Raw genomic sequence first — 14,817 nt, forward strand, 5'->3', positions numbered from 1 at the left:
TGTGAGCAAAATAAGGAAGAGAAATCTTCACGTTTGGGTCTTTTGAGTTATCTGGAAAACACCAAAACCCACAAGTAAGTACCTCTGAGGCAATCAGGCGGCCTATGAGGAAAAGGGGACAGAGGAAAATGGCAGAAGGGGTCCCTCACAGTTATGCATCCCTGTTTCCCTCTGCTCAGATTGGTTTTTCACCTTAAATGAGATAACATGTCTCAAAGATTCAGCACAATGCCTAGCTGTACTATTTACGGTATTCAATATTCATCATCTCAGAACTGACCTAATGCTCTCCTGCTTCAGAATTTTGAACAGGTGTACCATCCTGACTGAATCACAGCACCCCTAACTCTTTTCTGGCAACTGAATTACTTATCCATCTCCTCAACTCCTCTACCTGAGGCCAAGAACTGTGTCTTATTGGCTGTTAATTAATAGTTGCTGAATTAATGAATAGATGAACTTTAGGTAAATCATTTTACCACTGAGAGCCTTCTTTATCTAAAAAACTTCACAAAATTCAATATAATCATCAATTACAGCAACAACACCACAGGCATTTTCACACATTCTAGAGCTTAAGGCAATCGGAAATTATGAGCCTTTCTTGAAAAACACTACTAACAATGAAATCCAGCCAACTAAAAGATTAATCAAAATTAAGAACTTACGTAAGGAGAAAATGTAGTAAAAAGCCTGGCTAATAGCTTTGAATTCATTTAACTATTAAGACTAAACAACTGGAAATTAGGATTACAAGACGAAATTTAAATGTTCTAAATCTTGACAATGTAAAAATAATATATCTACAAAAGGAGAAAAAGAAGAAAATGTAAGAATGTTATCTTTTAGAGTAGAAAGACAATACTATTAAAAATTAAAATATAATTTAAACTAATAACTACCTGGTTTTTCATAATTTTTCTTCTCAACCCAGGAAAATGGTATTCTTTGCAGTGGAAAAATATTATCTAAAAGTCTAGAATTCCTTTAAACTCACTTTCAGGTTATCTAATTAAATTAACACTAAAAAAGTAGATTGTACAATGATGTCATTTTTATAAAATTACTTCTGTTCATCTATCTAAATCTATCAAATCCATATTTCCATATATAACTTGCAGCTGTAAGGAATGATGTTCTGATGTTTAACGGTAGTGACTAAAATATCTGAGTTGTGGGATTTAGGGTTTTTTTTTAACTTGTTTCAGTACTTTTCTGTTTTGCTTGAATTCTATATAATTCTGCCATTTGTTTAAAAGCAGTAAAGTATTCATTTTTAAAAATCAATTTAACCAACACTTTCTGAAAACCAACTCTGTATCAGATCCTTGCTAAATGTTAGGGATTCAAGAAGCTCACTCTTTATCAAACCATTAAATATATAAAAGCAGACAAAATATTTCAGTCACCTTAGTTTGATTCTACCCACTTATGACTGTCTTTTTAAAGGGCCCTGGAAGAACCACATATTCAAAATAAAAAAAAAAGAAATAAATAAATAATGTCTTCTTTCCCTAAATCTCTTGGGAAAGAAGACAAGCAGAAAGACATCTTCTGGCTGGGCATGGTGGCTCACGCCTGTAATCCTAACATTTTGGGAGGGCAAAATGAGAGTTTCACTTGAGCCCAGGAGTTCAAGACCACCCTTGACCAACATGGCAAACCCCATCTCTACAAAAAAAAAAAAAAAAAAACACAAAAAATTAGCCAAGCATGGCGGCCTGTGCCTGGGACCCCAGCTACTCAGGAGGCTGAGATGGGAGGATCACTTGAGCCTGGGGGGCAGAGGCTACAGTGAGCCATGATGGCACCACTGCACTCCAGCCTGGGCAACAGAGAGAAACCCTGCTGAAAAAAAAACAATAGATATCTTTCTTCACACGTGTGGAAAAGGAAAAAATATTATCTGGTGGTACTGTATTCAAGTTAAACGGGCAATGAAATAAGTTCATTAGTTTTACAAGTCATATACCTTAAACAAGGACAAGAAAAGTGCTATCCATATACAGAAGAGTCAGATAGTCAAATCTGGAGGTTACATAATCCTAGGTAATAACAGCCCAGACTCCATTTTTGATGGTTGGCTGCTGACAGCTTTTAAACCTCACCTCTCCCTCTTCCCCTCTGCCTCACATGGGGCAAGCTAATGAGAAAGCCCAGATGCTTCTTCCTTTGGGGCACCAGTGAGTTTCAAACCACATAAGCCCCTATCCATTAAAAGCCTCACCCCAGACCCACTCCCTAACTACTAAACAACAAAACAACAACAAAAACACCCTCAAGCCAGTCTCCTTTCCCTGTGCTGTCCAGCCATTTCTGACAGCTTGGGAAGCCTGCCCTTCTCTCCCCTAAAAGTTTCATTATGGAAGATACATTCCTGGTGTCCCTATGGTATCATCAATCTTTACATCCAAACCAAATTTTGGGTGGGGGCCCATCCCATTGCTGCATGGTGGTTATGATATAGAAAATGAAACTGGCTCACAATAAAATAGCCATAATTTACATATCAAACCCAAATATGATTTACATATCAAACCCAAACCTGTTCCAAATTGCCACTAACTTCTGGAAATTTTAAATCTACTATCTCAATTCAAAAACTATATATATATTACATAGAAAAAGTTAATGCTTTGGCTAAAATGAAGGTAAAACTTCTCTCAGTATATTCTTAGAGAAAAAAAATTCTCAAAGGATGGTCAATGTAGGCCAATGCAGGGGTTCAAAATCATGTCTTGAATTTAAAAAGAGAAAAAAGGATTATTTTACAAAACCTGGAAAAAATGGAAAGATAGATCTCTAAAAAAAAGTTACTCAAGTATCTTAGAACTAGAAAAAGGCTAAACTCTTAAATATTTCTTCAGTACCTCGTTATTACTACAAAAACAATGACAACAATTAGCACTCATTTTTTTTAGCTCTCACTTGGCCGTAGCATTGTGCTAATTGCTTTTCACACATTATCTTATATAATAACAATCCTATAAGTAGTATTATTATCTGTATTTTATAAAGGCAATAACTGAGACTTATACATTTTTATCATCATTTTACAGGAAAGTAAAGTGAAGCTCAAAAAGATGGTGGCACCCACCTAAAGGCTGAACAATAAGAGAGCAGGGCTGGGCCTGAGATATATCTGACTCCTGGGTCCACACTGCTAACCAGGATACTACACCGCCTGGTCCAGAAATAATCCCCTGTCAAGCTAGCAACAGAAATGTAACTTTTTAGGAATTACCTTTAATATCTCATCCAAAAGAACAGATTTAATTTCTAAATCCTCAAAATTACAAATATATCCAGAGGTCTGAATGGGTTCCTTTAAAGACAAAAAAAAAGTTATGTTTCATTATGCAAAATTTCCTCTCTTTTAACAAATCATGCTTTTAAATTTTATTATCAGAGTTTTCAGGTAAACAAAAGAGAGAATGTCATTAACACCCATATACCCATAACCTAAATAATTAGCATTATGGTAAATATGCTTCCTTTAACTTCTTGGCTGAAGTATTGTAAAGTAAATACAGTAAATTACGGACATCATGATATTTTATCCCTAAATACTGCAGTACATATCTTTAAAACATAAGAATTTTCTCTTACATGGCCACATTACTATGATCACACCTTACATAATTAATGTTAATTCCCTAATAGCATGTAATATTCAGTCCAATTTTCTCAATTAATAAAAAGTCATATAGCTTGAAAATTCTAATTCATGCAATTCAATATTAAAGTTAATTCTTCATAAAGCTGATAAACACTATATTTGTATGTAAGCCCATCTATCAAAGAAATCCCATACCACACTGAACAGTCTCTCCTCTGTAACATGAGCCAGAGTGCATTCCTGATATATCTCCTACTCTTAAGAAGATTTATTTGCCAATATGTAAGTGCATGAGACTGTTATATGTCTGTCTCTTATCTTAGTGTTATACAGGCTTGTTGAAATAAAGAATAGGATATGCATATTATAAAGTAGCTGCCCTAGATCCTTGTATAAACATGTTTATCATTAGAAATTTTTTTTTTATTTTTGGCAAGACAGTGCAACAAAACAAGATAATCAAAAGATAAACTCACAAAAGTTGATCCATGAAAAAAAAAATACTACCAAAGAGAAAGGGAGAAAGATGGAAAGAGAGATCAAAAAATAAAAGTTTGAAAAATAATCTGATTATTAATGCATAAGTAAATACATTTATGTAATTCAGATTTTAAAAATTCAACTTCTGCTGGAATTAACCAATTTTCTTTAGTTTCCAAAATTCATTAGCTATCTATCCACACACTTCATTTAAATATGAAGTTTCAGACCAGCAGGGTCTCACCTAACCAGTATGCAAGATAATTCTTTTTATCAAAAAAGTAACCAAAGCTTTAATAATCTATACTACACCAAACAAAATATTGGCACCCTTATCCAGCACACAAGTCAGAAGGCCTCATAATATGTGCCATATAATGAGTGTCCTGAAGTACCCTTATTTGTCCTACAATTTTAGCATATTGTGATATACTGAGGTTTGCATATACCTAACTAAGTGAATTGAGGGATTGTATTACCTAATTTTAGCTAACTCTCACAAACTGGACAAATGGCTTAAAAAGCTTCTTGCAAAGAACTTGTAAATTAAAAGTAATATTAATAATGCAAGCACAAGCAAACAAGAAAAGGCAGAACTGACACCTCTCTTACTCCTAGCACAGATTCTTGTATCAGTCACATTACAACGTGAAAACAATGACAATCCTATCAGGTCTGACCAAAAGTCAGCTAAAAGGTCAAAGTTATCAAGTAGAGTATTTGACACATGAGACTTTTATCAACTAAGTTAACAAAACCTTGCTCTAAAATGTGCATTATGCTGATATACTAGCTAATGTAGCATTAGCATGAACCATAGCAATTAGCATGACTTAAAAAAATAAAGTTATGTCATCCAGTATAATTTATTTTTCTCATTCTTTTAAAATTTCTATTTTGATTCATAATATATTAATATGGTAGGTCATGTAAATAATTTCTAAATAAATATGTATATATAAGAGCATATATTCAAAAGTTTGGGAGCCCCTTGTTTGAAAAAGAAGCAAATGTACAAAAATGAGTCTGATTGATGAAATTATGAGATATGAAAGAAACATGAAATGAAATTGTAGTGCCAATGAGAAGGAAGAGCCAAGAAAAAGAACAAAACAGCGCAATCAGTACCTTCAGAGGGTCACTGGAGATGAAAATGATCAAGCAGGGAATATCAACATTAAATATTCATCTCCTAATTCTCAAAGAAAATGTGCTTTATCAGTGAATTAAAACTTTGCACACAGATGGCATCTTTTTCTCTCAAATAATCTGAAGATTTACAGCTTAGATAAAGGTATGAATCTAGAATTCTTAACAACACTCAAATGGATAAAAATATATTGTTATTAGCTGTCAAACAATAACTTATCTCCTAAATAATAATATAGAATATTATGTCCTTAAGGAACATACTATTAAATATAATAGTATGTAAAACAGATCTTCCCTGCTTTGAAGAGATCATGTTCTTACATGATCAATAAGCAGCTAGAAAAGCAAATGAGCAGAGTAGCTAAACCAGCTGCGACCACAGTAAGCCAGTGTCCTTGTGAATGAAAAGAACAGAACAGCATCATTTATAAAGAAATCCAGACAGTGGGAAGGTTTTAAGAAATCCATCTAGCTCTAAATCTAACAGAAATCGAACTACATGCCAAACCAGAAAACAAATTCAAATTAAAAAACAGTATGTTTTTAAAAGGCTGTTCTGTTAAAACTACTTAAGAAACTCTTTCCACCAGGCAAAGATTTCACTTGGTACCAGACTGACCATGTGTGCTATAGACACATTATGAGCAGCCAGATACAACAAACATTCTCCCTTCTCCAGGCATATGATTTGTGATTTAGTATGAGCAGGGCTAAGGATAGAAAAAGACTCTAACATTCAAAAAGTATTCTACTCCCATCCTCAAGGTTATCCTGTGGATTACCTGTCAAATTCCCACAATTGTTTTGTGGCAAGGATTAAATTTCCCTTGGACCCTTGAAAGAAGCCCATGCTTACAGGTCAAATGCAGCAGCCCTGAATCTGAATGCCTTTCCTTTGAACTATTTCTCAGGGTCGAAGAATCACAAAGATCCTAAGACTTGCAAAAGCTTTAACAGAGCCTTTGAGAGCACTTTACATCAGGGCATTTTACATCCAAAATTCCTGAGTAGGGCTCAAATGGGGAAATGTGAAAATAATTTAGGATATTAAAGGGGCAAACAGTTTACCACTAAATAAATTACTCCAGAAACCCTTTGGCAGCTCAGGGGCCCAAGCATGCAATTTCTTCCCAAGAAGGAAGCTATACATGCAAACAAATGGAAATTAATGATATAAAGCATTTATTAACTTATTCCTTATTATTTACAAGAGTAGAGTGCAGCAGAAGTACAGAAAATTCCAAATTGAAAATCCATTACTAATTCAAAAGTCATTTAAAAGATTTATCTTCTTAATGATGTTTTGATTAGGTTACCACTCGGATTATTTTGTATTTCCTAAATACAACAGCTGAGAGTTGGCCAGAGTAGACTAAGTGACAGGAAAATCCAGAGCATAGAAATTAGCTGATGTGAGCCACAAGCAGAAAATCAAAATGTAACCTTAAAAATGAGAACAAAGGGGACTTCCTCATACCCAAAAGAGAGATTAATCCCTGCCTGCACTTGCATATTTGTAAGAATATCTGGGTTAAGAAAGAACACAGATTTGTGAACGATATGGTAAATGTAAATATAAATAAGACAAAGTAAGCACAGAATTAAGTGAATAAAGAGACAGAAAAGAATGAATGGACAAGGAAATTTGAAAACTATATTTTTTTATTAGGTTCTTTTCAGAAATTCTGGTAAATAAGGCTACTGATTTTGTTTTCTTAAGTTTGACAAGGGAAAAAAAGACTAGTGACCATGGCTCCACCTTTTAAAAAGAACAGATAAATAAATGCCTAGGAAGTACCTTTCAGAGAAAGTAGAGAATATTTAATAGATAAGTATTTTCTCACCTAAGACCAAATATTTTTAAAATCCACAGAAATGTTCCTATTTATTTTCAGAAATTCATGCAGCCGTGTTGGCACTGCTATTCAACAAACTTCTTAAAGAAACAAAGGGGAATCATCCAGGTTTTTATATTTGGCTCATTATTTATAGACTGTTAACACTCATTTCTTGTTTTTACCTCAGGATCCAAGTTTCTGAAAACATACATTCTTGTCTTCTCCATCATTGCAAACAAATCAGGATTATCTTTGGCCCACTTCATATCCCAGACATCTCTTCGTTCCAATTTTAACAACTCTCCAACTACTTGCTGTCCCGTACTGTCCGTTACTCGAGCATCCAAGTCAAAGAAAGTCAGAACTCCTGAGATGTCTATGATAGCAAGACGGCTAAAAACAATGCAATTAGAGAAAAGGAAAAAACTATAAAATTACTATCAGCAATCATGAGAATAATTACCTATAGCCATTCTTCTTCAAAATCAGATTATCAGAAACCTGGAATACAGTAGAAATGGCTTAAAATTTTGTTAAATAAATTTGATACAAGATATGGACTACTCTCTATTTTGCTCTCTTCTGAGGAAAATGTATCCAGAGACAAAACCAATTGGTATGAAATATAAAATAGTCTCAATGCTTTTAAGCTTTAAGAGTAAAAAATTATACTAGTACTTCCACACGCCCAATTAAAAACATTTAAACCAAATGCAGTATAAAATAAAACCATACTGAATTTTAAGACAAGTTCATAATAGACACGCCCATCTTTACATTTATTACATATAAATCTAACAATCCCAACTGATCATTTCTAAGTCTAACATCTACATGAGCAGAGTTTTCAGGCTTACCTAGAGTTGCAATTCAAGGATAACTGGTAGGCTCGACAATTAAGGGAATATTTTTGAATCAAACCAACATTAGGTAGACTGTATCTCTGAATGGTGCCAGATTCACGACCCTATGGAAATTACTTTTGATTACTTAAGCATACGTGTATCATAATAATATTAAACTACAACTATTTCTCTATATGTCTATACATTTGTCTTAAAACCAAAGTGATGTCACAGCAAATTCTCAATTCTGATAATGAATCATGTCCTTAAGTACATATTTACCTACTAATTTAATTAAACCTTTTTCAAACAGCTGAAGTATTCTAATTTTTTTTCATGTAATATTCAAGAAAGAAGTCAGAAACCTAGCACTTTGGCAATACACAAATTCTTACATCACAAGGAAAAAAAATCTAAAGTTATTTATATTTGTTATCTAGGTTAATATTCAGGGCACATTAAAAGCTAAAGCAAAGTACTTGTTGAGTTAAATTACATATGTATATGAAAAATCAACAGAAGATCATATGATATAGCTGTTACTGAAGGTCTAGGTTTTTATCCTATAGTCATCTATCTGATACTAGTTTTTAGCAAAAGGAAAGATGATCTGAATGCAGGGATACTATGAATATTAGTTTAAATAAGTTTAAAAAATAAAGCAGCATATAATTTTGTACACAACTCAGGGCAAATCTTAAGGTTGACATATCAACAGTAAGTATAATGCCATGAGAGAACTGTGGGTTTCAAACCCTTGGCTGCCTCAGGCCATGGCAGTGGGACAAAGTGGAAGCCTCCACACAGCTGATCTTTAACTCTCTTCTTTTTAATCAGAGAACCACTGCTTTTGCAGCATGAGTCTCATGAGGGCTTATCAGAAAGGAGGGAATACTATAGAAATACTATGCTCTTAAGATTTTTCCCCCCATAAAATTAGCTCATGGCTGAGGAATGTAACTAGAACTAGAATATATACTATTAAGGTTTTGTTTACATAATTCAAATGCAATAACCCCAGCAGCATTACTGTATAAAAGTAAACATTAATTTCTAAAATTAATATTTTCAAATCTCAGAGCTCAAGAAAAGACACTATGCCATTGATTCTATTTGAAAAATTCAGCTGAAATTTGCCATAGGCTTCTCTATTTTACTGGCTGGCAAACATGTTACCTCGTCATTCTAAGTCTTATGAAAGTGGCTGAGCCAAAGCACTTTCTCCAACATAAAATATCGGGCTACACAAAGGAGGAAACTTTCTAATACCTACTACCACCATGCAATCTGCCCCACCACCATGCAATCTTCCACAGGGCTCATTCCACTCAGTGTTAGAAACTGTAAGTGTACTCTGTCTTCTCGGCTGGTCATCCCTGTACTGCTTTCATAAATAGCTGTTTTTGCAAATGGTTAATTATTAGCGAGGAAAGCTTTAAAACTTTCTTATTTCTCATACTGAACTTATATTAAGGGTACAGTAAAACTTGGGGTGCCCATAAGATGATATTCAAAACTTTACTGTAATTTTTTTTTTTAGAGACAAGGTTTCACTATGTTCTCAGTCTGGTCTCCATTTCCTGGCCTCAAGCAATCCTCCTGCTTCAGCTTCCCAAGTAACTGTGATTACAGACATGGGGCACACACCTGGCTCCTACCATATTTTTATAATTTAAAGAATTATTATTCATAAAATAAGTTTTTGCAAAACTTACCACAATCAATATCTTATCTGATGCAGTTATGGCACAAATTGGATCCCTTGTGCCCTAAAATAAATTAATCAATCATTACTATTCAACAAACATTTATTGAATAACTAACCTGGTACAACGTAGTATGCAATTCACTAAGCAGTCAATATTTCTTAACTTAACCAACATTTATTTACTGCTGAGCACCTACTATGTGCCAACCACTGAACTAAGCACTAGAGATACTCAGATGAAATCTTCATCTTCAGAGATTACTGAAAAGTCTATTGAGGAAGACAGTGAACTAAACACCTCATTGCAGGACAGTATGATAAAAGAAGAGACAGAAACAGAGGTTATGACAGTGCAGAGAAAGGAGTACCTAACTTACACCAAGACAGGCAAAAACCTGAGCTCAGGCCTAAAAGAGAAACAGACAGCAGAAGGGCCAGCACATACTAAATTGAGGAAATGTAAGAAGGCATTGCACTGCAACAACCTGGACAAGTCTCTAGGGCATTACGCTTAGTGAAAAAGCCAATCTCAAAAGGTGACATACTATATGATTCTATCCATAAAACATTCTCAAAGTAACAAAACTATAGAGATGGAGAACATATTAATGATTGCCAGGGGACAAGAATGGGACTGGGCCCAGCTACTTGGGAGGCTGAGGCAGGAGAATCACTTGAACCCAGGAGGCGGAGGCTGCAGTGAGCCGAGATCACACCACTGCACTCCAGCCTGGGCAACAGTGCAAGACTCTGTCTCAAAAAAAAAAAAGAAAATGAAGAAAAAAGAGATAAGATCCCTTATGGTGATAAAACTAGATAAACCTACACACGCACACCTATTAGCACATGTAAAAACAACTGAAAACTGAATAAGCTCATAGTCTAGTTACAGTACTGCGCCAATGTCAGTTTCCTGGTTTTAATACTCTACTACACTTACATAAGATGACACCACTGAAGAAAGCTGAGTGAAGGGACTCTTTTTGCAATTTTCTATTAGCCTACAATTATTTCAAGGTAAAATGTTTTTTAATAAAAAATTTTAAAAACCAGCATGATACATTCAGGAAATTTCAAGTTGTTTGCCACAGCTGGTATCTGAGGAATATACTGGGAAGTGGGCCAGGAAGGAGGAGTAGTTGTGGCTATTTATACTTTATTCTGAAAAATATGGGAACTTACAGAAAGCTTGTAATTGGGGAGGGGAGGAACTATATGTAACATGATTAGATTTATATTTTAGAAAGGCTGCAGTGGCCAGAAGTATAATAAATGGATTGGCATAGTGGGGATGGGGAAAACTGAAAGTAGAGAGGCGATTCTGTACTGTTCGATATGGTAGCCACTAACCTGATGTCACCATTTAAATGTAAACTTCAATTAATGACAGTGAAATAAAATTTAAAATTCAGTTCTTCAGTTGAACTAGCCATATTTTAAGTACTCAATAGCCACATACGGCTAATGGCTACTGCACTGGAGAACAAAGACACACAGTATTTCCATTATCACAAGAAGTTCCATTGGGCAGTGCTGGATGGAAATTATTGCAGTGACCTAGGCAGAAACTAATGGTAGACCAAACTGATACAGAGATGGAAAGGGGAAAGCCAATTTGAGGGAAATTTAGGAAACAGAATCCAGAGGACTTGGTGATTTATTAGACGTGGAAAGCAAGAGAAAATGAGTTCTCGTGATTCTTGCAAAGATAGTGAAGCCAACCACTGATATATAGAATATATATGCAGAAATGAATTGGGAGGGAAGCTGAGTTCAGCCTCAGGCAGATTAAACTTGGGGGGCTTTTGAGCTGCTCAATTTCTTGCTATCCAGATGGCAAGAAATATGTTATTCAGAAATTGAAAAAACTCAACATTGGAAATATACATATTAGAGTTGTTGGCATATGATTAAAGGGGTGGATTTCATTAAGAACACTAAGAAGAGTGTATTCACAGGTTTTTTTAAAAAAGGTAGATGGCTTAGGGCTAGACATTAGGGAATATCACAATAAGTGATGCATAGATGAACCCTTGACAAAGAAGACTCAGAAGGAAAAGCCAGAGATAAAACCAGGAGTGTAGTTTCATGAAAGCCAAGAAGAAAAAAGTAGTCATTAAAAATATTAAATGTAATGTGTAGATCAAATAATATAAAGACAGAAAAAGACCTATCAGACTTGGCAATTCAAAGTCTTCTGGAAACCAGAATGCAATGAAGTGCAGATGGAATGAACAGTAGGGGAAAGATGAATACAGAATAGTCTTTCAAGAAACTCAGCTACGAAAGGAGGAAGAGAGAAGGTAGTAGCTGGAAGAAAATACGTGGTTGACAATGGAAACTTCTGTTGTTTTTAAGATGGCATCTATTTTAATTTATGTGAGGGTACAGGAGAAAAGCTGGTTGATGATGAATCAATTTCCCAAAAGTTCCCTGTTAAAGCGACTGTTTCTTATTCACCAGTAGATTCCCAGCACCTACTCCAATGTCTCACACTTAATAGACATTCAAAAAATACTTAATTGAAAAAAATGGATGGATATGTAGATGACTAGATGAACTCTTGCATATTCTAGTAGATACATCACTAGATCTGCTGTCAAAAAATTAAGCTTGCACCCTTGCTTTGTTACTTAATCATTTTATGATCCTGAGTAAATCAGTGAACTTCTCTAACAGTTTTCTAACCTGTAAGAGAGGAGATGACATGCTGATTGACTTACAGAGTTTTGAGCATCAGATAAGAAATGAGACAACAGTTTTATAAACAATAGGCACTACTTTAAATACTCTGAGAAAATCATTTCAAAAACTATTTACTGAAATAGCAAATTATATTAGTTTGTAAACAGAAGCATATTTTCATAAAGAAACAGTTAACTATATTATCTGCAAAATATATGCACTCACTAATACGCCAGGGATGACAGACCAATCCATGGTCAACTGATAGACAGATAAAGAGATAGACAGATGGGAAGGTGTGAGGAGGAGAGGAGGAGTTATGTTTTCCAACATTTTTAGATAATACGCTTTTCTAAGTAGTATATTAGCTACTTATCACCATCTACCATCTTTATTTTAGTTCAAGAATTTTTAAGATCTAGGAAAAAGTTTACAGAAGAGGATTTTTTTAAAGAATTGCTAAAATAATATCCTATTCACTGGAAACAAATTATTTTTCAGGTTTCAAAATAAAATTATAATATTTCAAATCTACAGATATTAACATTTTCTGGAAAAATTAAAATCACCTACTTGAATGGTTTTACTATAATCAAGCACACCATCCATTGATCCAGAAGGGGTATCATCAACATGATAAATTCTGCAAAAAAGATCAGAATTTCAAAGAAAGTTTAAGTATAGTTTATACTATTTCATAATCTCTAGAATAAACGATTGGACAACATCAATTAATACTGTTATTTAATATAAAAATTCTGATTATTTTAGAGAGTTCTCAACACAGTTAAATCTTAATGAAGATAAAAATTATCTACCAGGTGTTTACTAGTTATATAAATGATACGTTCCTGAAAGCTGTACCAAAAACATATCTGAACATTTCATCATATATTCCCGATGAATTTCATTAAGCCCAGAGAGACATTTTACCTTACCCTCCACTTGAACATCAGTAAAGAGTAACATCTAATTCACTAACTTTCTCTGTTGTTTCTCCATAATTTCTCTTCTATCAATGTGTTTAATAAAAGTAAAATTTAAGTGGATTTAGGAGGTTCTAATTAATGCAACTTCTGCGCTGAAGTAAAGAAGCCTTTCCTACCCTTTCCTGTGTTAGGAAGGGGTATCACTTTTGGACATCCACTGTCTCTCTAGTACCTGTACCTGTATTATTATTTTAAAATAAATTTAAGGGGTACAAAAGTACAGTTCTGTTATATGGATATATTGAGTAGTGGTGATGTCTGGGCTTTTAGTGCAACCACAACCCAAGTAATGTACACTGTACACATTAAGTAATTTCTTATCCCTTACCCCCTACTACCCTCCCACCCTTCTGAGTCTCCAATGTCTATTATTCCACACTTTATGTCCATGTGTACACATTATTTAGCTTCCACTGGTGACCTTTGGCAAATACTTTAAGCTCATGTGTCTGTTTCCTCTCTGCAAAACAAGAATAATGAGCACTGATTAGATTTATGAAAGTGTCTGGCACGTAAGAAGTACCCAATAAATGTTGGCTGTTATCACCATCATCAACTGTACCTTAGAGATGAGGAAACTGAGTTCTAAGGGGAACCTACTCAAAGTTATTCAAACCAGTACACATATCCCAGACAGAAACATAAGGAAATGCTGTCTTCTTGATTTAAACTAATGTCATAATCTCTTTAGCAGCTATAAGACACTCTGGAGAGGCTAGGCTTTCTGCTTCAACTTTGTCCTAAGATCTACCTTCTCCCACAAGATTGCAGGCCTCTGCTTATTATTGCTACCACGGTAACGCCTACCAGCATGAGGACTACCACATACTGGCCAAAGATTCCTTCCAAAGATTCTTTCCATTTGGTCTTCCAGCACCACTGAGAACAAAAGATATAACATTTTTCAATCTTTTTTTCCTGCCTCCACATGAATTCGCATACTCAACATACTTTTTTTTTTTTTTTTTTTTTTTTTGAGACGGAGTCTCGCTCTGTCGCCCAGGCTGGAGTGCAGTGGCGGGATCTCGGCTCACTGCAAGCTCCGCCTCCCGGGTTCACGCCATTCTCCTGCCTCAGCCTCCCATCAACATACTTTTACTGAGGATCCATCTCCCATCTTAGCACATGAGTGAGTCTTAAAGGAAAGGCAAGGGGAGTCTGCTTTAAGATCTCAAGGATGTGAGGGAGGATAATGATTTGAAAAAACACCTAGCATTTCTGTCATGACTGTACCACTCACTTCCACCAACACAGGCCTGTGTCCCCATTAAGAATCCTTAGGTTAAAACATTCAACAAAATGCTTTACTTACAGGCTTAGAGTAACAACAGAAGAGCAGCAAACACAGAGTATCACTAATGGAGACAATATAACTTACAAAACACAGTAAATGCTTCTTCACTTACAGACTTACTGTGGGGAATCCCTCTATCCTGGCTTCTAACCTATCTACTATGTGGCAGAGCCCTTTTCACCCCACTTACTAGAAGTAATTCCAACT

The 14,817-nt window shown here is 34.9% G+C and overlaps 1 protein-coding gene across 6 annotated transcripts in view; it reads right to left on the reverse strand.

The window, feature by feature from the left end:
- Positions 1-14,817, reverse strand: part of WDR35 (WD repeat domain 35) — a 79,843-nt gene that overhangs the window by 28,252 nt on the left and 36,774 nt on the right. For 5 of the 6 annotated variants that reach the window (XR_426989.4, NM_020779.4, NM_001006657.2 and 2 more), the window contains 5 exons: positions 12,901-12,970; positions 9,650-9,703; positions 7,947-8,056; positions 7,272-7,482; positions 3,245-3,325 (listed from right to left, as the gene is read on the reverse strand). Coding sequence is in view for 4 of the 6 variants with exons in the window: in NM_020779.4 (NP_065830.2) it covers positions 3,245-3,325; positions 7,272-7,482; positions 7,947-8,056; positions 9,650-9,703; positions 12,901-12,970 (526 nt within the window). In the remaining 2 variants the exon portion in view is untranslated. Of the gene's footprint in view, positions 1-3,097; positions 3,212-3,244; positions 3,326-7,271; positions 7,483-7,946; positions 8,057-9,649; positions 9,704-12,900; positions 12,971-14,817 lie in introns of all 6 variants that reach the window. The other variant, XR_939699.4, reaches the window with a different exon arrangement.

This window comes from Homo sapiens, chromosome 2 (assembly GCF_000001405.40).
Source record: "Homo sapiens chromosome 2, GRCh38.p14 Primary Assembly".
Classification (NCBI taxonomy): Eukaryota; Metazoa; Chordata; class Mammalia; order Primates; family Hominidae; genus Homo; species Homo sapiens.